The 25,839-nt window shown below is 41.8% G+C and overlaps 1 pseudogene, besides 2 other annotated features; it reads right to left on the bottom strand.

Annotated features, from left to right (window-relative positions):
* Positions 1,827-2,327: an enhancer, noted in NCBI's record as "H3K27ac hESC enhancer chr6:25174961-25175461 (GRCh37/hg19 assembly coordinates)". NCBI's record gives its function as "activates a minimal SCP1, AML or CMV promoter by ChIP-STARR-seq in naive H9 embryonic stem cells {active_cell/tissue: H9 hESC(naive)}" and the evidence as "EXISTENCE:reporter gene assay evidence [ECO:0000049][PMID:30033119]".
* CANT1P1 (CANT1 pseudogene 1) lies at positions 21,640-24,535 on the bottom strand (annotated as a pseudogene).
* Positions 22,945-23,649: an enhancer, noted in NCBI's record as "OCT4-NANOG-H3K4me1 hESC enhancer chr6:25153639-25154343 (GRCh37/hg19 assembly coordinates)". NCBI's record gives its function as "activates a minimal SCP1, AML or CMV promoter by ChIP-STARR-seq in primed H9 embryonic stem cells {active_cell/tissue: H9 hESC(primed)}" and the evidence as "EXISTENCE:reporter gene assay evidence [ECO:0000049][PMID:30033119]".

Below are 25,839 nucleotides of genomic sequence, written 5' to 3'. Positions count from 1 at the left end.
AGTTTAAGCTAGGTTAAGCTATGATGTTCAGCAGGTTAGGTGTATTAAATGCATTTTTGACTTAAGATTATTTTCAACTTATAATAGTTTTATCAGAACACAACCTATTGTAAGTCAAGGAGCATCTGTATATAGATACTGTCAAATTGCTAAAAACACTCTATCAATTTATGTTCCTGTCAGTATTATCAGCATACACTTTTTTCAAAATTCTCACACAATATTATTCATCTTTAAAATTCTGTCAATACAAAGCTAGAAAAATGACTCAAGTTATTTTAATTGGTTTGTGAGGAGGGCAGAAGAGCAGGTTAAGAGAGACTTTCACTTTGTTTCTTCACATCTAATGGGAGACAAATCTGCATGACCTGGGCTAAAGTGGACTGAGCCAGTCTGAGACAGGGCTGCAAAGCCTTTGGCAGATGTCAGCATTCTTGAAACACAGAGGCTCTTCAAGGCTGTTCCTAGTGAAATTTTAAAATTGTGGTTTAAAAACAAGGATTACTAATTGCATTGATATTAATATAGCCAAGACTTGCTCTTTTTTGATTAATGAATTCAGGGTATATCTTTTCCCCTTTCTTTTACTTTCAATCCACCTGTGTAATTGAAGTTGAAGTGAATTTCTTATAGATAGCCTATTGTTGGAACATGTTTTTATTTTTATCCCCTCTGCAAATTTCTGTCTTTTAATTCGTGTATTTAGACCACTTACATTTAAGGGAATTGTTGATATGTTAGGGCTTATATCTGCCCCACTACTTTGTTTTCTTTTTGTTTCCTCTATTTCCTGTCCCTCTGTCTCTCTTTTTTGTACCTTCCTATGGGTTGATTGAACATGTTTCAGGATTCAATCTTAATTTATTTATTTTATGTTTTTAAGTTGTAAGAGGGAGGATCTAGGAGGAGTGGGGCTTACCATCATGGCTGGAGCTGGAAGTTGTTGAGTAATTATTTTTTATTGTCATAAAATGTACATAACACAAACTTTATCACCTTAGCCATTCTAAAGTGTGCAATCAGTGGCTGTGCAGGGAGAAACTCTCTCAAACTGTGTCTTTACTCTCACACTACAACAATCAACACAGAAGGCTTCTATGACCAAATATGTTGGGGGTTAGGGGGTTGGTTGCCACACTTCAAGCAGTGGACACCAGCCAAATGTCCTCCAATTCGATTCTTACACTATCTACCTAGAGATGGCGTCAGATCCCATGGGTTGGGTCTCAGTCCCCAAGACTGTCTCCTCTACACCAGTTGCAAGTCTGGGCCTCTGAAACTTCTGACCAACTAGCTTGAAGTTGAGATTCCCAGGAATCCCCTCTTTGGGTTTGATTAATTTTCTGGAGCAGCTCACAGAATTCAGGGAAACACTTAAATTTACTTGTTTATTATAAGGAATATTACTAAGAATACAGATGAAGAAACACATAGGGAGAGACATAGGGGAAGGGATGCAGAGTTCCATGCCCTCCCTGGGCTCCACCCTCCAGGAGCCTCCATGTGTTCAGCTATCTAGAAGCTCCCTGAACCCAGTCCTCTTGGATTTTTATGGAAACTTCGTGACATCAGCATTCCTTCCCCCAGGGTATGAGGCGAGGCCCTCATCGGGGAGACTCTTAAGACCCACAATCAGAAAGACAGGGAACATTAGAATCCTGCCTTGGGTCAGGTAAAAGGAATGCAGGAAAGAGATTATTTCCTGAGGCCTGCCCCTGAGACCTAACACACCCAGCATTATAACGAAAGACTGTAACAAGGGATGTGGGAGTTATGAACCAGGAACTAACTGTGAAGGAGAACATCATCGACTGTGCCAAACGAGCTCAGATGTCCAGGAAGGGGCTGACTAAAATGCATTATTTGAATATCATGATGCAGAAGATATATATATCTATATATCTATATAGATAGATGAAAACAAATATGTATATTTTCTATAATGTTCTATAACACAAGAAGTTTCCCAAACATTTATTTACATTGTTTGTTTATTCCCAAATATTTATATTTCCCAAATACGACAGCAGGGAGACTGAGAAATCACAAAGGACAGATGAGAGCGATGTTACTTAATGCCACAGAACAGGACATCATTTAAAGGAGTTACTCAAAGTGTTTCAGTTACTGCCATTAGGAACTCCTAAGCCCCTCGGCAGTGTGGGTGGTACGGGGTAGGTGTTGAGGTTAGCAGCACCCACAGGCTTCTCTTCACGCAGGATATGCTATATAGTGAATCGGTATCAAGACTGGAGGAAGGTAAGGGTTTCCAGAAAACCACCTTCAGGCCATGGTTTGGAGTAGTCTTATTGAAGTTTACAGAATCAAAAGTTACAGATAATTAGGAGGCATTGAAATACAGACCTGTTTTCTTTTTTCTTTCTTTCTTTTTTTTTTTTTTTTTTGAGACGGAGTCTCACTCTGTTACCCAAGCTGGAGTGCAGTGGTGAGATCTCGGCTCACTGCAACCTCTGCCTCCTGGGTTCAAGTGATTCTTCTGCCTCAGCCTCCCAAGTAGCTGGGACTACAGGCGCACCCCACCACACCTGCCTAATTTTTGTATTTTCAGTAGAGATGGGTTTCCACACATTGGCCAGGCTGGTCTCAAACTCCTGACCTCGTGATCTGCCCGCCTTGGACTCCCAAGTACTAGGATTACAGGCATGAGCCACTGTGCCCAGCTGACCCAGTTTCTACGACCAGTTTAGCCACAAAGTAGACATGTAACCAGAGGAAAGTGACTTAACCTCCTAGGGCCTCAGCTTCCCATATTACACACCCCTGGGATGAGAATGATAGGAGGTGTAGCGGGGTTGAGCTGGATAATATAAGGTTCCTTACAGCTCTAGACATTTATGATTTAACATTTTTTATGGATTGCTAATGCTGCTTTTTTTTTTGTTTTAAATGTCAAATTCTTGCATGTATAAGGCCTTGATTCTTTCAGGCCTGGGTTGTGTTGATTTATGGGCATGAGCTAATTCCAGATGACTCATTCTAGAAGTGATTGTGTAAGTATCCTTTACTTAGCTAAACATATGCAACATAAATTCATCTACTATAACATATGTTCTCTCAGAACATGCTACTGGCCAGAGTTATTAGATTTTGTTCACACCATAGATCCTGCTGTATTTTACAGCACTTCAGAATAACAATCATTCTTTTAAAACCCTTCTACACACCTTTGCTGTTTCTGTAAATACACCTGTCCTTTACAAGCATCTGGCTCTTTCTATGCATTCTTCCTCCAGAAATCATAGTATTATAGATTTGGAAAATGCTTGGCCTTCATTTTCCTGTTACAGACTGGTTTAGGTGTCCCTCTTAATTGTTCTTAATGCATTCAGTATATTCATTCATTTCTTAATTCATTAAAAATATGCACCATGCCAGGTGTTGGGGACATTGCAATGAACAAGACAGGCATGGCCCCTGCTCTCATTCAGTCATGTCTAGGGGTAAAGGTAAACCTTGGATAAGTAATAATTGGTGTGCTGACTGTTAAGAAGAACTACAGTGCTATACAAGCTGTATGATCATATTGGGCTTTAACCAATTCCTTGGGAATCAGATTTCTAGATGAAGTGGCATTTAAGTTGAAATCTGAGTAGTGAGTAGGAGTTAGCCAGGCAAAGATGAGGAGGGGGACCACTCCAAGCTGAGAGAACAGCTGAAATGAGAAAGTCCATGCAATATTTTTTTTTTTTTTTTTTTTTTTTACCATAAGAAGATCACACCGGCCAGAATGGAGAGAGGGCTGGGGAGGGTGATTTGACCTGAGTCTAGAGAGGCAGGCACAGATCAGACCAGGATGCTTATGGCAGGCCACGCTAAGGATTTTGGACTTTATCCTTATGGAAGTTGGAAATCATTAAGAGTTTAAAGAGAGATATGATCAAATCTGATATTTTAAATAAAGCTCATTTGGCTGTGATGTGGCAAGTGGGCTGGAGGGCAGGGTGGTGAGAGGAGACACAGGAAGCTCAGTTGGGACATTCCTGCTGTGGTTCAGACGAGAGCTATGTGGGCTTGGACTAGGGCAGTGTGTCTGCTTCAAGGGGAAAGGGTTTGGTGTTTTGTGGAATTTGGGGAATGAGGGAATGTTTCATGAAGCCGAAGGGGAGAGTGTTTTTAAAAGGAGGACATCATCGACTGTGCCAGATGGAGCTGAGATGTCCAGGAAGGGGCTGACTACACTAGAATGCATTATTTGAATATCATGATGTGGAAGATTTTTTGGGGGGGGGGGGCAGACTCTTGCTCTGTCACCCACACTGGAGTGCAGTGGTGTGATCTCAGCTCACTGCAACCTCTACCTCCCGGGTTCAAGTGATTCTCCTGCCTCAGCCTCCCGAGTAGCTGGGACTACAGGTGTGCACCACCACGCCTGGCTAATTTCTTGTATTTTTAGTAGAGATGGGGTTTTGTCATGTTGGCCAGCCTGGTCTCGAACTCCTGGACTCAAGTGATCCGCCCACTTTGGCCTCCCAAAGTGCTGGGATTAGATGTGAGCCACCGCACCCACCCAGAAAGATATTTTTGACCTCAGGAAGAATGCTTTTGGTGGAATGACGAGGGTGAAATCCATAGTGTGTGGCTTAAGGAGTGAATGGAAAGAAGAGGAGGAGAGAGAGGTGGAGAGACTACACCTCTTTCCAGAAGTTTGGCTCTGAAAGTAAAGAGAAAGGGTTAATACTAGATGGTAACAGTAAGTAAAGAAAGAATTGTAGTTTTACAGTTTTTTTGTTTATTTGTTTGTTTGTTTTTTGAGGCAGAGTCTCACTCTGTCGCCAGGCTAGAGTGCAGTGGCATGATCTTGGCTCACTGCAGCCTCTACCTCCCGGGTTCAAGCAATTCTTCTGCCTCAGCCTCCCTAGTAGCTGGGACTATGGGCACGTGCTGCCACGCCTGTCTAATTTTTTTGTATTTTTAGTAGAGACAGGGTTTCACCATGTTGGCCAAGATGGTCTTGATCTTCTGACCTTGTGATCTGCCCACCTTGGCCTCCCAAAGTGCTGGGATTACAGGAGTGAGCCACTGCACCCGGCCAGTTTTACAGTTTTTAAAATGGGAGAAGCTTCCACACATTTAGATGCTAAAGGAAGGAACAGATAGGAAAGATTTAAGAATCAGGAGAGAAAAGAGACAATAGCTTAAGATTCCCGACTATGGGGTAGAGGAGAATGCTTAGAACCAAGGTGGAGGAATTGGTCATTTGTCACATTTGCTGACATTTTACTGACATTTTCTGGCTGGATGTCTGTCTCCTTCACTGGGCTGTAACCTCCTGAAGGTGAAGGCTGAAATTCTATTTGATTTTATATCCCTAGCACTTAGTGTAGGACTTAGCACGATAATGTGCCCTCTGAGTGTTTGGCTGGGCTGACGTGTCACTTGTGGTAGGAAGGTCTCTACAGATGTGTTCCCTTAAGGATATAGACTGAAGGCCTTGAATGCTTAGGAAGCTGGGGATTGACTTGAGGTAGGTAGGGCTTCTTGGATAGATTTTTTAAATGAGAACTATGAAATGGCAAAGCTGTCTGGCCTGTTAGGTTAGTAACTTTGGCTGTTTATGCCTGATCCAAAGCCCTAGGCTAAAATCAGTCATGGTGGAGATAAAGAGCAACCTACAACATGCAAGTCAAGAACTACCACAGTGAATTCTCTCCTTCTTAGCTATCTCCTTGGTCTAGAAAGAAAGATGAACCCCACAGCAGCACCCCACAAGAAGAGAAACAGTGCTCACTCATTTGAGTCTACTTCTCATCAGATCTGATGCAACTTATCTGCACAGGCCATGAATGGAACAATGAAAAGATGACCTGAAATCTTTCCCCACTCAGTTGCTGTTAAATTTAACACAGACATAAAAATTAAGAAATTCAGTGAAACAATTATATTGCATTTGTATTTTTCTTCTGCACTGCCATTAATATTGGCTGGTAAAAATTATTCCATACTTATTTCCATGAATTTTGAAAAGACTTAAAACTGCCTGATATACTTGGGTGATATTCTTCCAGGAATGATAAAATGAGACAGAAATGGCCTTTGAGTGTTTTCAGGAAGGGAAAATGGAAAATGAAAGCTGGACTAAAAGGTGTTACAAAAGCAAACTAGTTAATACTTCCAAGAAATGAATATGCTAAGATATTGTTTGCTGATCAACATTTATTAAACATTTACTGTGTACCACTGATCTAGGCTCTTGGCCAGATATGAGCAACAAAAAGAAGATAGTGTAGTGCTTGCCTTCCAAAATCTAGCACAGTCCTAGAAAGAATTCAGGTTTCACTAAGGCTACTTAGGGAGAGAGTTCTCTAGGTTCTAGAAATTAAGGCAGGCACCCACACAAAGACTCAGTTGCAAATGGGTGGAAAGAATGATTTTTATTAATCAGCACAATATCTTAAAAATCCCAGTGTAGCCTTCTTTGATAAAAGACAGAGTACATGACTTAGAGGCTTAAGAGGGGTCTTCTACTACCCATTCTGGATTTCTGTTTTGAGACTTGGAAGTTCTAAAGTCCTTGCAGAGGAGATTCTGAGGCCCACCAGTAGCCTAAAATCTCCAGGCCTGCTCCCCTCACTGCCCCCACTCCTGGGTGGAACACAGACGTAGAAGATGCTACTCAGCTCAGTGGCCCTGCCCACCATGCACCTGACCCTGTGAATGCCTGTGGCTGGCCGTTCAGGTTAGTTCTTCTTCCCTCCTCTCCCACACCATGGAGACACAGGAAGAGAAGGAAGATACGTGTTTTTCTCTAGTGCTGACATTAGAGCCTGAGACTCCGGCCTTGCATGAGGCCAGATGGGCTAAGGTTTCTATGCTGGGTTTTTCGAGATCTCCCCAGACCCTTCCAGCAAATTCCTCTTTTTACTCGAGGAGGTTTTGGAAACAAATGAGTAAGACAGACGTAGTCTCTGTAATAAGAGAATGGTGAGTCAAGGACACCTGAAAAACAGTAATAGCTAAGGTCGGACAGAATAGAAGGGAAAAAAAAAAAAGCAAAAAGAGCTCTGGAGACACAGGAGAAAATGAAGCTCAGATGTCTGGGAAGGCGAGAGTATCTAAAACCTTTACCAGAGAAGACTGGAGGGCCTCTTTGGGAGATGAAACTCTCTGTCACCTGGAGATTCACCAAAGACTCTGAGGCTGAGGGGAACAGTATACTGTGGAACTGATTTCTGAGACCACAGTTGGAAATTGTGTGTTCAGAGTCCTTACAAGTCTGAAAAGGCCTTTATTTTTACAGCCACACTTGAGTCACCATTTGGCTGTAGAATTCTCCCTCAGAATTCTGTAAACATCACTCCATTGGGTCTCCTGGCATTTTATTTCCAAATAAGAGAGCAATGTCCACTGGTTTCTTTGCACTTGGCAGACACCTGATTTTGGTGAAGGTGTTGGAGTGTCTTTTGTTGGGAGAAGTGAGTGTGAGGAGGGTGGGGGAGTGTTCTGGAAGTTTGTAGGATTTCTTGTAGGATTCTTTTCTGTCATTTACAAATTTCAACAGATTATCTGTAATATGGCTTTTTTCAGTATTCCTGCCCAACAATCCTTAGATTCTTTAAATATGAAATCTAGATTTTCTTCTATTGAGAAAAATGTTAACTTATTCTTGATCATTCCTTCATTTGTTTTCTGGAATTTCTGTTATGTAGAAGTTATCATATATTATTCTTCCTGTTTCTTAATTTTCTTTCATAACTTCTCTGTTTTTTAGGAGATTCCTTAAATTGGTTATCTGTTTCACAGTTGCCAGGTTTGGTTTTTGGCATATTATTCTGCTACTTAAGATCTCCACTATTTTTTTGTTTTGTTTTGGCGCCCATGATTTTACTGGAAAAATCCTTTTGTTCTCTCCTTTTTTGTTACCCCTTTTCATTTATGTGACACCTTCCTGAAAATTACCCCTCCCTTTGAGATTTAAATAAAATGTCTGGCTCTTCATCCCATTCTTGATGGGAAGTTTAATGCCTCCCCTAACTCCTGTTTTTTTTTTTTCTTTTCAATTCCAAGAGGTTTTGTACTTGGTCCCCACCTAGGTCCAATTTTCTTTGTCCTAGATTTCCTAATTGTACCTCTTCTTAGAGTCTGTTCTTACAGCCTGTCCTGGTGCAGACATGGAACACATCGTTTTCCTTTGTGTTCCCCAAATGGCATTCTTTCATTCCATTCACCTTGTGTGGACACACTTTGCTGAAGGTCTGAGGTGGCGAAAAGGGTGGCGTCACAGCTCTCCAGAGAGTATTCATGTGTTTTAAAAAGTCCTCCATCTGCCCCATTACCAGGGATTTGTCACCTACCACCTTACTAACAAGGCTCCTCTTCTGTCCTGTTGAAAGGAAGAATCACTAATGGATGCTAGCAGGGCTTAGTACCTAGGTGATGGGATGGTCTGTGCAGTACCTGCCATGGCACGTGTTTACCTGTGTAACAAACCTGCACATCCTGAACATGTACCCCTGAACTTAAAAGTTGGAAATCAAAAAAGAGAAAGGGCCTCTGTTCTCTGCCTTTCTTATCTTCCAGACAGAACTCCCTTTACCTGAATTCTAAAGTCCTCTTTGTTTCTATCTGATATTTAAGTCAAAAAGATGTTGCCACACCTGTTCTCTCCTTCAGAGAATTCAGGTTCCTGCTATTATAATCCCTTTTTATTCCTTGATGCACTAAATTTCTTTTTCTGAAAATTCTTCCTTGTTTTCTTTACTAAATCTATCTTGCAGAAAGATATCTTTGCCCTGATTGTTCAGCTTATTTCTGGCAGCTAATTTTTCCCATATGTCTAATGTTTCTTGTATAAGAGAAAATAGATGGCTTTTATTTCTAATCAGAGGTCTATTTTTCTCAATGTTGGCAAATCCTGTGGGTTCCCTAAGCAATTGTGCATCTCAGGGTTCAGTTCCTTCTGGTGGTTTCCTGCTTTCTTTTCCTATGTGAGGCTTACGTAGAATTTATTTAACATGCAATAAAATATGCACATAACATGAAATATGTTTACAATATGGATAAATCCCACAATCATAATGGTAGGAGAAAGAGGCCAGATACAAAACAGCATATGATTCCATTTATACAAAATTTAAGAGTAGGCATAACCAGTCTGTGGTGATACAGATTAGAGGAGTGGCTATCATTTGAGTGGATGTTGACTGGGAAGGAGTTAGCTGGAGTCCTAGAAATTTTCTATATCTTGATGTGGGAGGTAGTTACATGAATGTATACCTGCGTAAAAAAGTCATAGAGCTATACATTCAAGATTAGTGCACATTACTATATGTAAGTCATACCTCACTTTAAAAAATGTCATGTGATGTCATCTAGAACTAGGGAAGGAATAATTTGAGAGACCTTCTTGATTTGGAGAGGAAAAGGATATTTTGAGGGCAGGTGTTACTTAGAAGAATTGCTCTACATAGCAGTCTTTTCTTCCTTTATCCTACTATCAGACATTTCTCCAACTAGAATAAGATGTGGTTACAACTGTCCTCTTGCTGTTTCGTGAGAATTGCTTAGTTGTTTCCTACACAGAATTTTAAACGTTGTGGTAAATACAAGTTCAAAGTCACATTGCCAGTGCTTCGGAAACTTATAATCTAGTTGGAGAGACAAGACTAACATAAAAGAGAATTTAGTGTTGCTTTTTTTTTTTTTTAAGTGCAAATTTTGAGGCACAGAATTCTCCAGGGATTCAGGAGAAAGAGCACTCAGTGGGAAAAGGAGGAATTGATTTTAATGAAGCGGGGAGGACTTAAGGTGAGTTTTTGAAAATACCTGGGCAGGCACAATGCCAGCTAGTTCTTCACTGTATTGTGTTTGTTTAAAGAAACATAGAACACCTGCTTGCTAGAGCTGAAACAGTGACTGGGCAAGACAGGATATTTATCAAACTGGGGAAAATAAACCAAGTGGCATACAGATGTCTGAAGAGATTTAGACTTGGATTCTGAATTCCCACTAGTCTGAGCCCTCAGGGTTGAGAGGACAGTACAGTCAGGGGAGGGTAGGGATCGGGAAGGAACAGAGGCCAGGCCTAAACTGTATGCCCCGGTGGGAAATACTATACAGAGGTCTTTTCTTTTACAACAAAGCAATTCTTATTATATTACAAAGAAAACCAAAATCTGTGTTTATGACAGGATGACTTACAGAAGGATACAAAAAATTAGGGAGTGATATATTAAGTTCTCCTTAATATTTTCTCCTCTGACACTACATTCATGTATCTGCAAAAACATACATGTGCTTTCAGACACACATGTATGAACACATACACACACACACACACACACACACACACACACACACACACACCCTTCATACTCCTGTGCTGGTGGGGAATTCGGAGTTTATCTAAAGTACACACTTCATACTCCTGTGCTGGTGGGGAATTCAGAGTTTATCTGAAGTGCTCTTTGCTAGGCTCTGTGGGTGGAGCTGGGAGGGTAATGGTAAGGTTGGCAGATATATGAAGACAACTGAAATTCATATCAGCAGGCTGAGTGTTCATGTCACCAGAAGTCTGACTCGCCTGCTGTGCTCTTGCCTGCTGTGCTCTCGTAATTACTTTCGGAAAGGTTTTCTGGCTACAATAAAATCTGATTAAATTTGTTACCAAGCAAATTGAATTGTTCAGGCTGCAACCTTTCTAGAAGTTTTAAACGTTATTTAAAAGAAGATTTCAACCTCACTCCATTTCAGCTTTCTCTGGGGAGCTGCTCTTGTGCTGTTTGGCCCCTGCCTACTCGGAATGGAACAAAGGTATGGTGTGTATTGTTTTTCTACTGAATTTAGGATATTTATTTTTGATGGTTTGTCTTCACGTCTTCTGTAACTAGATATAAGAATTGAGAGTTCTTGCTGGGGGATGGGGAGGGATTTAGGATGTTAAAACAGTTTTCAAATATATAGTGTTTGCCATCTTCAGAACACCTGATTTACAATTCACTCAGTTACTTGGGTATAGAACTTGCTTGTATCGCACCCTGCTTACCCTTGATATTCTATCTGCTTGAGCCCTCTCTGCAACCCTGTCCACTTTACCCAACCCCCTTATCAGCAACACTGCCTTTTCTGTATACTTCCCTTCTTTTTTCTGTGGCTGCTAGCAGATCTTGTTTTTGGAGCTTTCCTTCTGTCAAGACATTACTTACTGCTTTGCTCAGGTCTCAGAAAGCTTTAGGATCCAGAGAGATACTAAAGGCTGAATGGGCATGGAAGACCCAGGGTTTGGACTTGAGGGGTGCTCTGGACTAAATGGTACACTGAATTCATGGATCAAAAGTGCAGTTAGTCTTAAAGCTCCAATCAATACAATGTTGACTACTTCATGGGGTAAGTAAGATTTTTGTGGGCTGGTTAGAACTTACTTGCCATTCGCAACTTGTTTTTATGGGAAAATATCAAGTGCAGTATAAAATAAACATTTAGACCACTACCTAGTCATAAAGGGGGGGGTGCTTTCTGTAGTATATTTAATTAAACACATATTATTATAACATTTTGCTAAGTTCTAGTTCTCAAGTAAATATAAAGCTGTTCTAAAGATATTTTAGGAGTGGTGACATGTTTAAATCTCAGGTTTATAAAAAGGGTTGTAAGAATGACTGTTGTGAGCCATTAGTTTCAATGTTGATTTATTCTCTCAACAAATATTTGTTGAAATCCTCATGTGCGCTAGGCTGTGGGGGTGCAACGGAAACCTAAAACAAACTTGGTTCCTTCCCTTGCATAGCTTACAGTTTTCTAGGGGACACAGATATTAATCAACCAACCTCATAATTAAAAATGAAATTATTGGCTGAGCGCGGTGGCTCACGCCTGTAATCCCAGCACTCTGGGAGGCCGAGGCGGGTGGATCATGAGGTCAGGAGATCGAGAGCATCCTGGCTAACACGGTGAAACCCCGTCTCTACTAAAAATACCAAAAAAAAAAACCAAAAAATTAGCCAGGCGTGGTGGCGGGCGCCTGTAGTCCCAGCTACTCAGGAGGCTGAGGCAGGAGAACGGTGTGAACCCGGGAAGCGGAGGTTGCAGTGAGCTGAGACCACGCCACTGCCCTCCAGCCTGGGTGACAGAGCAAGATTCCATCTCAAAAAAAAAAAAAATCAGTTTGAAAGTGATGAGAGAGAAAGTGATGTGAGGCTGTGTCACGGTGGGATTTGACCTTATATGGGGAGTCAGGGAATTCCCAGTGGGGCTACTGATTGAACTGAGACCTAAAGTATAAGGCATTGGGGGAACCTGCTCCCAGTATTTCAACATAGTTTCTTTCTATTTTCCATAAGTGTCGGCTGGCTGAGAAATAAAGGGAGACAGTACAAAGAGAAGAATTTTACAGCTGGGCCGCCAGGGGTGACATCACGTATCAGTAGGACCATGATGCCCGCCTGAGTCTCAGACCAGCAAGTTTTTATTAAGGGTTTCAAAAGGGGAGGGGGTGTAAGAACAGAGAGTAGGTACACAGATCACATGCTTCAAAGAGCAAAAAGCAGAACCACTGATAAGGGTCCAACAAAGATCACATGCTTCTGAGGGGACAGGGCAAAGGGTAAAAGCAGAACCACTGATAAGGGTCCAATAAAGATCACAGGGCAAAGGACAAAAGCAGAACCACTGATAAGCATCTATGTTCAGCAGTGCGCTGCATGTATTGTCTTTTTTTATTATTATTAAATTTTTTATTTTATTTTATTATTATTATTATTAAAATTTTATTATTATTATTATTATTACCCTAGAACTTTAAGTTCTAGGGTACATGTGCACAACATGCAGATATGCTACACATGTATACATGTGCCATGTTGGTGTGCTGCACCCATTAACTCGTCATTTACATTAGGTATATCTCCTAATGCTTTCCCTCCCCCCTTCCCCCACCCCACAACAGGCCCCGGTGTGTGATGTTCCCCTTCCTGTGTCCAAGTGTTCTCATTGTTCAATTCCCACCTATGAGTGAGAACATGCGGTGTTTGGTTTTTTTGTCCTTGCAATAGTTTGCTGAGAATGATGGTTTCCAGCTTCATCCATGTCCCTACACAGGACATGAACTCATCACTTTTATGGCTGCATAGTATTCCATGGTGTATATGTGCCACATTTTCTTAATCCAGTCTATCATTGATGGACATTTGTGTTGGTTCCATGTCTTTGCTATTGTGAATAGTGCCGCTATAAACATACTTGTGCATGTGTCTTTATAGAAGCATGATTTATAATCCTTTGGGTATATACCCAGTAATGGGATGGCTGGGTCAAATGGTATTTCTAGTTCTAGATCCTTGAGGAATCGCCACACTGTCTTCCACAATGGTTGAGCTAGTTTACGGTCCCACCAACGTGTAAAAGTGTTCCTATTTCTCCACATCCTCTCCAGCACCTGTTGTTTCCTGTCATTTTAATGATCACCATTCTAACAGGTGTGAGATGGTATCTCATTGTGGTTTTGATTTGCATTTCTCTGATGGCCAGTGATGATGAGCATTTTTTCATATGTCTGTTGGCTGCATAAATGTCTTCTTTTGAGAAGTGTCTGTTCATATCCTTTGCCCACTTTTTGATGGGGTTGTTTGTTTTTTTCTTGTAAATTTGAGTTCTTTGTAGATTCTGGATATTAGCCCTTGGTCAGATGAGTAGATTGCAAAAATTTTCTCCCATTCTGTAGGTTGCCTGTTCGCTCTGATGGTAGTTTCTTTTGCTGTGCAGAAGCTCTTTAGTTTAATTAGATCCCATTTGTCAATTTTGACTTTTGTTGCCATTGCTTTTGGTGTTTTAGACATGAAGTCCTTGCCCATGCCTATGTCCTGAATGGTATTGCCTAGGTTTTCTTCTAGGGTTTTTATGGTTTTAGGTCTAACATTGAAGTCTTTAATCCATCTTGAATTAATTTTTGTATAAGGTGTAAGGAAGGGATCCAATTTCAGCTTTCGACATATGGCTAGCCAGTTTTCCCAGCACCATTTACTAAATAGGGAATCCTTTCCCCATTTCTTCTTTTTGTCAGGTTTGTCAAAGATCAGATGGTTGTAGATGTGTGGTATTATTTCTGAGGGCTCTGTTCTGTTCCATTGGTCTATATCTCTGTTTTGGTACCAGTACCATGCTGTTTTGGTTACTGTAGCCTTGTAGTATAGTTTGAAGTCAGGTAGCATGATGCCTCTAGCTTTGTTCTTTTGGTTTAGGATTGTCTTGGCAATGCAGGCTCTTTTTTGGTTCCATATGAACTTTAAAGTAGTTTTTTCCAATTCTGTGAAGAAAGTCATTGGTAGCTTGATGGGGATGGCATTGAATCTATAAATTACCTTGGGCATAATGCCCATTTTCATGATATTGATACTTCCTATCCATGAGCATGGAATGTTCTTCCATTTGTTTGTGTCCTCTTTTATTTCCTTGAGCAGTGGTTTGTAGTTCTCCTTGAAGAGGTCCTTCACATCCCTTGTAAGTTGGATTCCTAGGTATTTTATTCTCTTTGAAGCAATTGTGAATGGGAGTTCACTCATGATTTGGCTCTTTGTCTGTTATTGGTGTATAAGAATGCTTGTGATTTTTGCACATTGATTTTGTATCCTGAGACTTTGCTGAAGTTGCTTATCAGCTTAAGGAGATTTTGGACTGAGATGATGGGGTTTTCTAAATATACAATCATGTCACCTGCAAACAGGGACAATTTGACTTCCTCTTTTCCTAATTGAATACCCTTTATTTCTTTCTCCTGCCTGATTGCCCTGGCCAGAACTTCCAACACTATGTTGAATAGGAGTGGTGAGAGAGGGCATCCCTGTCTTGTGCCAGTTTTCAAAGAGAATGCTTCCAGTTTTTGCCCATTCAGTGTGATATTGGCCGTGGGTTTGTCATAAATAGCTCTTATTATTTTGAGATACGTCCCATCAATACCTAATTTATTGAGTGTTTTTAGCATGAAGGGATGTTGAATTTTGTCAAAGGCCTTTTCTGCATCTATTGAGATAATCAAGTGGTTTTTGTCTTTGGTTCTGTTTATATGCTGGATTACGTTTATTGATTTGCATATGTTGAACCAGCCTTGCATCCCAGGGATGAAGCCCCCTTGATCATGGTGGATAAGCTTTTTGATGTGCTGCTGGATTTGGTTTGCCAGTATTTTATTGAGGATTTTTGCATTACTGTTCATCAGGGATATTGGTCTAAAATTCTCTTTTTTTTTTGTTGTGTCTCTGCCCAGCTTTGGTATCAGGATGATGCTGGCCTCATAAAATGAGTTAGGGAGGATTCCCTCTTTTTCTATTAATTGGAATAGTTTCAGAAGGAATTGTACCAGCTCCTCTTTGTACCTCTGGTAGAATTCGGCTGTGAATCCATCTGGTCCTGGACTTTTTTTGGTTGGTAGGCTATTAATTATTGCCTCAATTTCAGAGCCTGTTATTGGTCTATTCAGAGATTCAACTTCTTCCTGGCTTATTCTTGGGAGGGTGTATATGCCCAGGAACTTATCCATTTCTTCTAGATTTTCTAGTTTGTTTGTGTAGAGGTGTTTATAGTATTCTCTGATGGTAATTTGTGTTTCTGTGGGATTGGTGGTGATATCCCCTTTATCATTTTTTATTGTGTCTATTTGACTCTTCTGTCTTTTCTTCTTTATTAGTCTTGCTAGCGGTCTATACATTTCATTGATCTTTTCAAAAAATCAGCTTCTGGATTCATTGATTTTTTGAAGGGTTTTTTGTGACTCTATCTCCTTCAGTTCTGCTCTGATTTTAGTTATTTCTTGCCTTCTGCTAGCTTTTGAATGTGTTTGTTCTTGCTTCTCTAGTTCTTTTAATTGTGATGTTAGGGTGTCAATTCTAGATCTTTCCTGCTTTCTCTTGTGGGCATTAGTGCTGTAAATATCCCTCTACACACTGCTTTAAATGTGTCCCAGAGATTCTGGTATGTTGTGTCTTTGTTTTCATTGGTTTCAAAGAACATCTTTATTTTTGCCTTCATTTTGTTATGTACCCAGTAGTCATTCAGGAGCAGGTTGTTCAGTTTCCATGTAGTTGAGTGGTTTTGACTGAGTTTCTTAATCCTGAGTTCTAGTTTGATTGCACTGTGGTCTGAGAGACAGTTTGTTATAATTTCTGTTCTTTTACATTTGCTGAGGAGTGCTTTACTTCCAACTATGTGGTCAATTTTGGAATAAGTGTGATGTGGTGCTGAGAAGAATGTATATTCTGTTGATTTGGGGTGGAGAGTTCTGTAGATGTCTATTAGGTCCACTTGGTGCAGAGCTGAGTTCAATTCCTGGATATCCTTGTTAACTTTCTGTCTCGTTGGTTTGTCTAATGTTGACAGTGGGGTGTTAAATTCTCCCATTATTATTGTGTGGGAGTCTAAGTCTCTTTGTAGATCTCTAAGGACTTGCTTTATGAATCTGGGTGCTCCTGTATTGGGTGCATATATATTTAGGATAGTTAGCTCTTCTTGTTGAATTGGTCCCTTTACCATTATGTAATGGCCTTCTTTGTCTCTTTTGATCTTTGTTGGTTTAAAGTCTGTTTTATTAGAGACTAGGATTGCAACCCCTGCCTTTTTATGTTTTCCATTTGCTTGGTAGATCTTCCTCCATCTCTTTATTTTGAGCCTATGTGTGTCTCTGCATGTGAGATGGGTCTCCTGAACACAGCACACTGATGGGTCTTGACTCTTGATCCAATTTGCCAGTCTGTGTCTTTTAATTGGAGGATTTAGCCCATTTACATTTAAGGTTAATATTGTTATGTGTGAATTTGATCTTGTCATTATGATGTTAGCTGCTTATTTTGCTCATTAGTTGATGCAGTTTCTTCCTAGCATTGATGGTCTTTACCATTTGGCATGTTTTTGCAGTGGCTGGTACCAGTTGTTCCTTTCCATGTTTAGTACTTCCTTCAGGAGCTCTTGTAGGGCAGGCCTGGCGGTGACAGAATCTCTCAGCATTTGCTTGTCTGTAAAGGATTTTATTTCTCCTTCACTTATGAAGCTTAGTTTGGCAGGATATGAAATTCTGGGTTGAAAATTCTTTTCTTTAAGAATGTTGAATATGGGCCCCCACTCTCTTCTGGCTTGTAGAGTTTCTGCCAAGAGATCCGCTGTTAGTCTGATGGGCTTCCCTTTGTGGGTAACCCGACCTTTCTCTCTGGCTGCCCTTAACATTTTTTCCTTCATTTCAACTTTGGTAAATCTGACAATTATGTGTCTTGGAGTTGCTCTTCTCGAGGAGTTATCTTTGTGGCATTCTCTGTATTTCCTGAATCTGAATGTTGGCCTGCCTTGCTAGATTGGGGAAGTTCTCCTGGATAATATCCTGAAGAATGTTTTCCAACTTGGTTCCGTTCTTCCTGTCACTTTCAGGTACACCAATCAGACGTAGATTTGGTATTTTCACATAGTCCCATATTTCTTGGAGGCTTTCTTCGTTTCTTTTCATTCTTTTTTCTCTAAACTTCTCTTCTCGCTTCATTTCATTCATTTGATCTTCCATCACTGATACCCTTTCTTCCAGTTGATCGAATCAGCTACCGAAGCTTGTGCATTTGTCACGTAGTTCTTGTGCCTGGTTTTCAGCTCCATCAAGTCATTTAAAGACTTCTCTACACTGGTTATTCTAGTTAGCCATTCATCTAATCCTTTTTCAAGGTTTTTAGCTTCTTTGCGATGGGTTCGAACTTCTTCCTTTAGCTCGGAAAAGTTTGATCGTCTGAAGACCTCTTCTCGCAACTTGTCAAAGTCATTCTCCGTCCAGCTTTGTTCCATTGCTGGTAAGGAGCTGTGTTCTTTTGGAGGGGGAGAGGTGCTCTGATTTTTAGAATTTTCAGCTTTTCTGCTCTGTTTTTTCCCCATCTTTGTGGTTTTATCTACCTTTGGTCTTTGATGGTGACGTACAGATGGGGTTTTGGTATGGATGTCCTTCCTGTTGATTAGTTTTCCTTCTAACAGTCAGGACCCTCAGCTGCAGGTCTGTTGGAGTTTGCTGTGGGTCCACACCAGACCCTGTTTGCCTGGGTGTCAGCAGTGGAGGCTGCAGAATAGTGACTATTGCTGAACAGCAAATGTTGCTGCCTGATTGTTCCTCTGGAAGCTTCGTCTCAGAGAGGTACCCAGCAGTGTGAGGTGTCAGTCTGCCCCTACTAGGGGGTGCCTGCCAGTTAGGCTACTCGGGGGTCAGGGACTCACTTGAGGAGGCAGTCTGTCTGTTCTCAGATCTCAAACTCCATGCTGGGAGAACCACTATTCTCTTCAAAGCTGTCAGACAGGGACATTGAAGTCTGCAGAGGTTTCTGCTGCCTTTTGTTTGGCTATGCCCTGCCCCCAGAGGTAGAGTCTACAGAGGCAGGCAGGCCTTGAGCTGTGGTGGGCTCCACCTAGTTCGAGCTTCCTGGCCGCTTTGTTTACCTAATCAAGCCTCAGCTATGGTGGGTGCCCCTCCCCCAGCCTCGCTGCCACCTTGCAGTTCGATCTCAGACTGCTGTGCTGGTAATGAGCGAGGCTCTGTGGGCGTGGGACCTTCTGAGTCAGGCATGGGATATAATCTCCTGGTGTGCCATTTGCTAATACCATTGGAAAAGTGCAGTATTAGGGTGGGAGTGACATGATTTTCCAGGTGCCATCTGTCACCCCTTCCCTTGGCTAGGAAAGGGAATTCCCTGACCCCTTGTGCTTCCCAGGTGAGGCGATGCCTCGCCCTGCTTCAGCTCACACTTGGTGGGCTGCACCCACTGTCCTGCCCCCACTGTCTGATGAGCCCCAGTGAGATGAACCCGGTACCTCAGTTGGAAATTCAGAAATCACCCGTCTTCTGTGTTGCTTACGCTGGGAGCTGTAGACTGGAGCTGTTCCTATTCAGCCATCTTGGAACCACCTGACACGTTTTGTCTTGATAAACATCTTAAACAACAGAAAACAGGGTTCAAGAGCAAAGAACCGGTCTGACCATAAATTTACCAGGGTGGAATTTTCCCAACCCTAGTAAGCCTAAGGGTTCTGCAGGAGACCAGGGCATATTTCAGTCCTTATCTCAACTGCACAAGACAGACAGTCCCAGAGCGGCCGTTTATAGACCTCCCCCAAGGAACGCAATATTTTCCCAGGGTATTAATATTAATATTCCTTGCTAGGAAAAGAATTTAGCAATATCTTTCCTAGTTGCATGTACATTTATAAGCTCTCTGCAAGAAGAAAAATATGGCTCTTTTTGCCTGACCCTGCAGGCAGTCAGATGTTACGGTTGACTTCCCTTTTTCCATAAAAATCGGTATTATTCTGTTCTTTTTCAAGGTGCACTGATTTCACATTGTTCAAACACATGTTTTACAATCAATGTGTACAGTTAACACAATCATGACAGTGGTCCTGAGGTGACATACATCTTCAGCTTACGAAGATAATAGGATTAAGAGATTAAAGTAAAGACAGGCATAAAAAATTATAAAAGTATTATTTGGGAACTGATAAATGTCCATATTAAGATGAAATCTTCACAATTTATGGTCCTCTGACACAGTTCCGGCCGGTCCCTCCGTTTGGGGTCCCTGACTTCCCATAACAATAAGGAGAGTTAAATCTGTGAGGAAGGGATCAAAAAAGAATATTCTGGGTATAGGGTTGTACATTGAGGAAATGAAAGAAGACCAGCTATCATTAGGAGGAAGAACATAGTACAAAATAAGCTGGAGGAAGTGCGTAGGGGTCATTACATATGCTTCACCTTCTAGGCTATGTTAGGAATTTTGCTGTTTCTCCTAGGAACAATGACAGGAGACTGACGTGGAATAAAAGGTTGATAGGGTGGAATTATTTTAAATTTCCATTTAATCTATGTTATTCTGCCTCATTCTTCATGACATTATTATGCGTTGCGTGCTTGTGTCAAAACGTCTCATATACCCCACAATTATATACATCTATATACTCACAAAAATTTAAAATTAAATAACTATGTTATTCTGGTCATTGTGGAAAGAACAAATTAGAGAAAGAGTGAATGTAGGGTGACCAGTTAGGGGTCTATGGCGGTGGCCCAGAGGGCCATGGTGATGGCTTAGATTAGGGTGACAGGGAAGATGGTTATGAGAGAGAATTAAGAGGTAAGATTAATGGATTTGACTTAGCTATAGGGTAGGGAGAGAAAGGGAGTCGTTGAAGATAACAGGTTGTCATGAAGGACATTTGAAGGATGAGAATGAGTGAGATGCACTGAGCTGAATTTTGGATATGCTAAGTTTCAGGTGTCTTTAAGACATCCAAATAGATATGTATGAAAGGCAGTTAGCTATACAGATACAACTTTGTGGCTCAAGGTCTGCCCATATATGTGTTTGAAAGTCATTTGTGTTCAGGAGATAATTGAAGCCAAGAGTATGGAGGAGACTCTGTAGGGAAAAAGTGTCAAATGAACAGGACACAGAACTGAGCCTTGAGGAGCTACAACATTGAATGACCAGATAGAGGAAGGATCCATCTACAAAGCAAACAAAAAAGGACTGAAAATGTAGGAAGAAAACTAGTAAGCTGTTAGGTGTGCAGAAACAACAACCACAAAAAGTATACCTGGCTATAAAGAAAAGGAGAAAGAGAACTAGCTGGAGGGTCTTTGGGGCTGAAATGCTTTAAAAAAAAAAAAAAGGTTTGGAAGGTTTAAAAAAGCAATGTAATGTAGATTCCTTCTACATACCATTCTTGAAATGACAACATTGTAAGGATAGCTGGGCAATCAGTGGTTGCCAGAGGATATGAACAGTGGGGATGTGACTGTAAAGGGTAGTCCTTGGGAGTTTCACTGAGGAAGTTCCTTGGTGGTGATAGAAGAGTTATATGTCATTTTGTTTGTTTTTTTGAGATGGGGGTCTCGCTTTGTCAGCCAGGCTGGAGTGCAGTGGTGCAATCACAGTTCACTGTAACTTTGAAACCTGGGGCTTAAATGAGCCTCCTCCCTAAGCCACCCAAGCTGTAGCTGGTACTACAGGTGTGCTCCAGCACGTTCCACAAGAACTATATATCTTTTTGTTCTTCACATTCCTGTCAGACTTTATAAAACAAATGGATCCAGTAGGGAACAAACACAATCATTATGCTGACTGTCAGAAATATAGAGGGAAAGAAAAAATGTTAGCCTTAAAGTATTTGAAAACCACTGACTGTATGAAAATGCTACTTCCAGGCACCTGGGCTATGGCTCAGATGCTGATATTAACACATCAGAAAGGTCTCAATTTAGTGACTGTCCCACATGCTCCAGCCTTCCTGATTTTCTCTCTCTGTATTTTTTAAATGACAGAGCCTGAATATCGTGGACAATAATTGAGGAGGATCAGAGAGCCCAGCCAGGCAAAATTAGAACAGACTTGGGTCTTGCAGGCTATACTTGGTGAGATCTGAGTTCTTGAGAAATGTGTCACATTCAGGAACCTGCCTTTACTTTTTCTGCTACTTATTCTGTAATGGAAGAAACAGACCACCACTGTGTGAGAGGGGTCCTTCCTGGCTTCCCTCCTCACAGCTGTGTTTCAAAGGGGAAGAGATCTGTGAAGGGCAAGCACAGGCACAGCCAGAGCCCACAGAGTCCACTGGGACCAGCATGGGGACAATCAGAGTCTGTGGTCCTCCTGCCTACTGCATGCCCTACACTATCCTGTGGGGGTTGGGGTGAGATAACTGCTGTGGGGGAGGAGCACTGTGACTGAAGGAAACATCTTTTCTCAGCTGTGGGCGTGCCTAACCTCTGTCTCAAACCCAACTCTGCCTTTACCTTGGAGTGTCCAGAAAAGACAGCAGGGGCCAAATGACAAGCCAAAGTTAGTGTGACATTTCCACGGAGTAGGGGTTGCAAAATTGCCGTTGGAAAGAGGAGAAATAAAGGCCATGGAAAGAAACTCTAGGGAAATGACAGGCCTTATTCACAGACTATGTCCAGAATAAAGGAGCCCCAGGGTCAAGGGTCAACAGTAGGCCTGTTGGAAACTAGGGTCCCATTGGAGTCAGGAAATAAAAAATTCAAGTGATTCATAAAAGTCTTGAAAGGCATGACAATTTCTAACAGTTGCTAGAAATGGTACCAACTCTGGGTTCTTGGGCCGTTAATGCACAGAAATTGGCATGAGACTGAAAAAGTTTCCCCAGACAAGGCATTATTGGAGTTTATACCTGGACATAAGAGAGGCAGCACAAGAGAGAGAGAATTCCCTGACTGAAGCCAGTAGGGCTTTTTTTTTTTTTTTTTTTTTTTTTTAAATTAGGCAAAGCATGGGAATTGACTTCAGGGGTAGGGTATGCAGGATGGGCTGGGAAAGTGTGAAGGGTAGGGTATGCCAGTCAGCATATCTGGTTACAGTGGTTATCTTCAATAATGGGCAACCTGGTGATCTGGCTGGCTACAGCAACAGTGTAAATCAATGGCTCAGCATTCCTTACCTATGTGGGACACTCAACAACCTTGGTTATCTCCTAAGGCCAGTTTCTGGAATTATTTAAGTAAAAGGTATGGTTCAAACATTGTGGCCTAAGCAAGGTAGTAGTGTGGGTTTGTGGTGAGTGGGGATGCACAAAAGAATGCTCTAGTCGATATAGGCTGAAGCCAAGCTCCGTTCCTACTTGGTCTCAGAAAAAGGCAATGTTTTCTTTAGTATACATTGGCCAAGAACTCAGACTTTTATAAACTTGCTTGACCAGTTGTCACTGCTTCGTTGTGATCTCTTCTGCCACTGGGAATGGATTTATTAACTACAGGGCTTTGTGTTGTGGGAGAAGATTTAGTGATTCCAAGAAAGGAATTCACTTTTATTAAAATAGGTTAATAATTAAAACTTCAAAGTGCTACCCACCCATAGAAGTTTCCTGAAGAAAGAAAACAGAGAGTCATTGGCCATATGAGGTGGAGATGGTTTCATCTGAAGTGTGGAAAAAACAGATAGGCTTGTGTTCTTTCCTGTGGCAGGTGTGGGTAAATGTGTCCCCCCCAGGGGCCTGCCCTTGTCCATAGCCCTACAGTGTCTTGCAATGTAAACATTTTCTTTTCCAAGGATCTGGTAGGGTGGACATAAATCCAAGGCTCATAAAGTAGGAAGAAAAGGGGGTGGCCTGGGAGTTCCTAGCAGGCAGATCCTCCTCATACTCATTGTATTTCCAGGGTGGGGCAGTGCTTCACACATAGTAGGAGCTCCAGGAATACTTATCAAACAAAAGAACAAAGGTAAAGAGAAGAAAGGGAGGTCAGATGGAAGAAAGCGCATGACCAATTCAAAAACTAGACCCCCTATGAAGTTGCCTGCAGTGATCAATTTTACCATGAGCTGGCAGCACAGAGAAAAGTTCTGGCCAGGGCAACCTCGAGGTTCCTGAACCTCTGCCCCTTTTCTCAGCCTGGGACTGAACTCCCTGTTTTGGAGATCTCTAAACCAAGTATACACCTCATTGTTCCAAAAACAAAATAAAACAAAAGTGCAGTCCTTCGGCATTTATAAAATGTGAGTTCCAATGTAGCTGAAAACTGCCCACCCCTCAGCCTTGCTTAATGTTTTAATTTTTAAAATTTAAATAAATTTTGTTCCTTCATACTTTACACTTCGAATTTTGGTGCCTGGCAGAAGGACTAGTCCGTCGAGAGAGAAAGACCATGATACAGGTGGCGATTTGGCCGCTGTCCTCTTTGGACTTGAGGTCCACAATGATGTGGTCGTTGGTGTTGGGGATGAACTTGAAGAATGAACTTTAACGTGCGCGGGGCCCACCTCCCCCATGTGGCTGACGGAAATGTAACCGAAGTCCTGGGTGGTGCTCAGGAGTCCTCGCTGCACCGCTGGGGGCAGGACCGGCGCTGCAGCACTTTCCAGCAGGCGGACTAGGGGTGTGAGGCAGCCTGGCGGTCGGATTTCCGTGGCGGCCCTGGGAGCATTGCAGCTGCACACCCAGTTCTTGTGGTCCACGCTGCCCTTGTGGCCTGCCACTCTCACCCATTCCACGTTCTCAGTCACTATGTCCCCTCCTTGCCCAGGCTGCCCCCCTACAGACGCTGGCCCTCCACTGCCATGAACCCCTTCTCCACTGCCCCATCGCCTTCGGAGAGAATTACCCGAGACACGGCCTTGCTGCCATCTATCTGATAGGTCACCCCTCTCACTTGGTCCATAGAGTAGTTTCCCACCAGAGACGTTCAGATCCGAGAGCTCCATGCCCCTCTCCACTTTCCGCCAGGTGGGACTCTAGAATGCAGTGGTCTTTGTTTCATTTCACCACCACCCTGTCCCTGCTGTCTGATAGGGTTGGGTATCCCCTTTTCAGGTAACTGAACCAGGTGTTTTCTTCTTGGGCCCTTGACCCTGTGCCCAGGTCAGCAATGACTGCGACTGGGTATTGAATCCTACCTGGCGTCCTCTGGAAGGCAACCAGGGGGTAAGTGTCATTGTCCATGGCCTTGGTCATGGGCGCAAGCACAGGAAGGCCCCGCACGCTTATCTGGAGAGAGCGCACAGACTCATTCCATTCCAGGTGGTCAGAGGGCTGGGCAGGCATGAGACTGAAGGGCAGGCGGGACCCAGTGGAGCAGGGAGTCCGACTTCCACCCTTAGTAAGCTCGCCTGGCCTGAGTTATGTGAGAGTAGTGATGGCTACACAAATTAAAGCATAGAATAAAATTTCATAGAACTGTATACACACACGCACACACACACACAAATAGATGCCTGTGAAAACTGGTGACATGAGAATAAAGTCTGTGCTCTAGTTAACAGTATTGTACCAATGTCAATTTCCCGGTTTTGATATTGTAATACAGTAATACAGTTACATAAGAGATCACTATTGGGGAAGCTAACTGAAGGGTACAGGGGACTCTGGACTATTTTTGCAAATTTCTGTGAGTCTACGATTATTTCCAAAGAAGATGTTTTAACAAGTGAATGAGAATGAAAAATATGAAATTTGCAATGACTTTTTCTTTAGTATTTTGCCCTTTAAGTGTAATCTAATTATTACAATCATCATTATTACTCATGCATAGTGTACAGGAAGCACTTCTCTTATTAAAATATAACTCAAAACTTCCAGAACTTGTCACTGGAAGACACTCCATCCAGGCAGTTTGGCTGACTTGAAAGCCAAACCTGTTTGCAGTAGGACCTTCCTTAATTATAGCAGATTATAGCTTGATTATACTTGGTTATAGCTTGTTGCAGGAGTGGGCTGCTCTCTCTTGAGAGGTCAAACTTTACTTACAATTGTACATCAGAATAAGTGAGGAGTGAGTATACTTTGAAAAGGCATATTTGAAACAGCAGTTTCCTCATTGTTTTTATTGTGGAATATAACATACAGAACAGCTCAAAAACCATAAATGAAGAACACTTAGAAAATGAACACCAGTTTAACCTAGGTTAAAAAAAAAAAGAAAATGTAATATTACCTGTGAGCACCCCAGAAATCTCTCATATGCTGCTTTCTTTCTTTCTTTTTAAAATAGCTTTATAGATAATATGATTTAAATACCATAAAATTCACCTGATTTAAGTGTACCATTCAATGGTCTTTAGTATACTTAATGGAGTTGTGCAACCATCTTCACAATCTAATTTTAGAATTTTTCCATCACCTCATGAAGAAACCATGTGCCCTTGATCAGTCAGTCCCCATTTTCTGTCTACACCCCCACCATTGTCTCTGATAACCACTGGTCTACTGTCTCTGTGAATTTGCCTATTCTGGACATATCATACAAATGGAATTATATCATATGCGGTCTTTGGGTCTGACTGCTTTCATTTAGCAGAATTTTTTGAGATGCATCTATGTTGTAGCATGTATTGTAATTTATTCCTTTTTATTGCCAAATAGTATTTCAAT

Source organism: Homo sapiens, chromosome 6, assembly GCF_000001405.40.
Source record: "Homo sapiens chromosome 6, GRCh38.p14 Primary Assembly".
In the NCBI taxonomy this organism is placed as follows: Eukaryota; Metazoa; Chordata; class Mammalia; order Primates; family Hominidae; genus Homo; species Homo sapiens.
The sequence above is the reverse complement of the archived record's forward strand: the minus strand, read 5'-3'. Positions and strand labels throughout refer to the sequence as shown.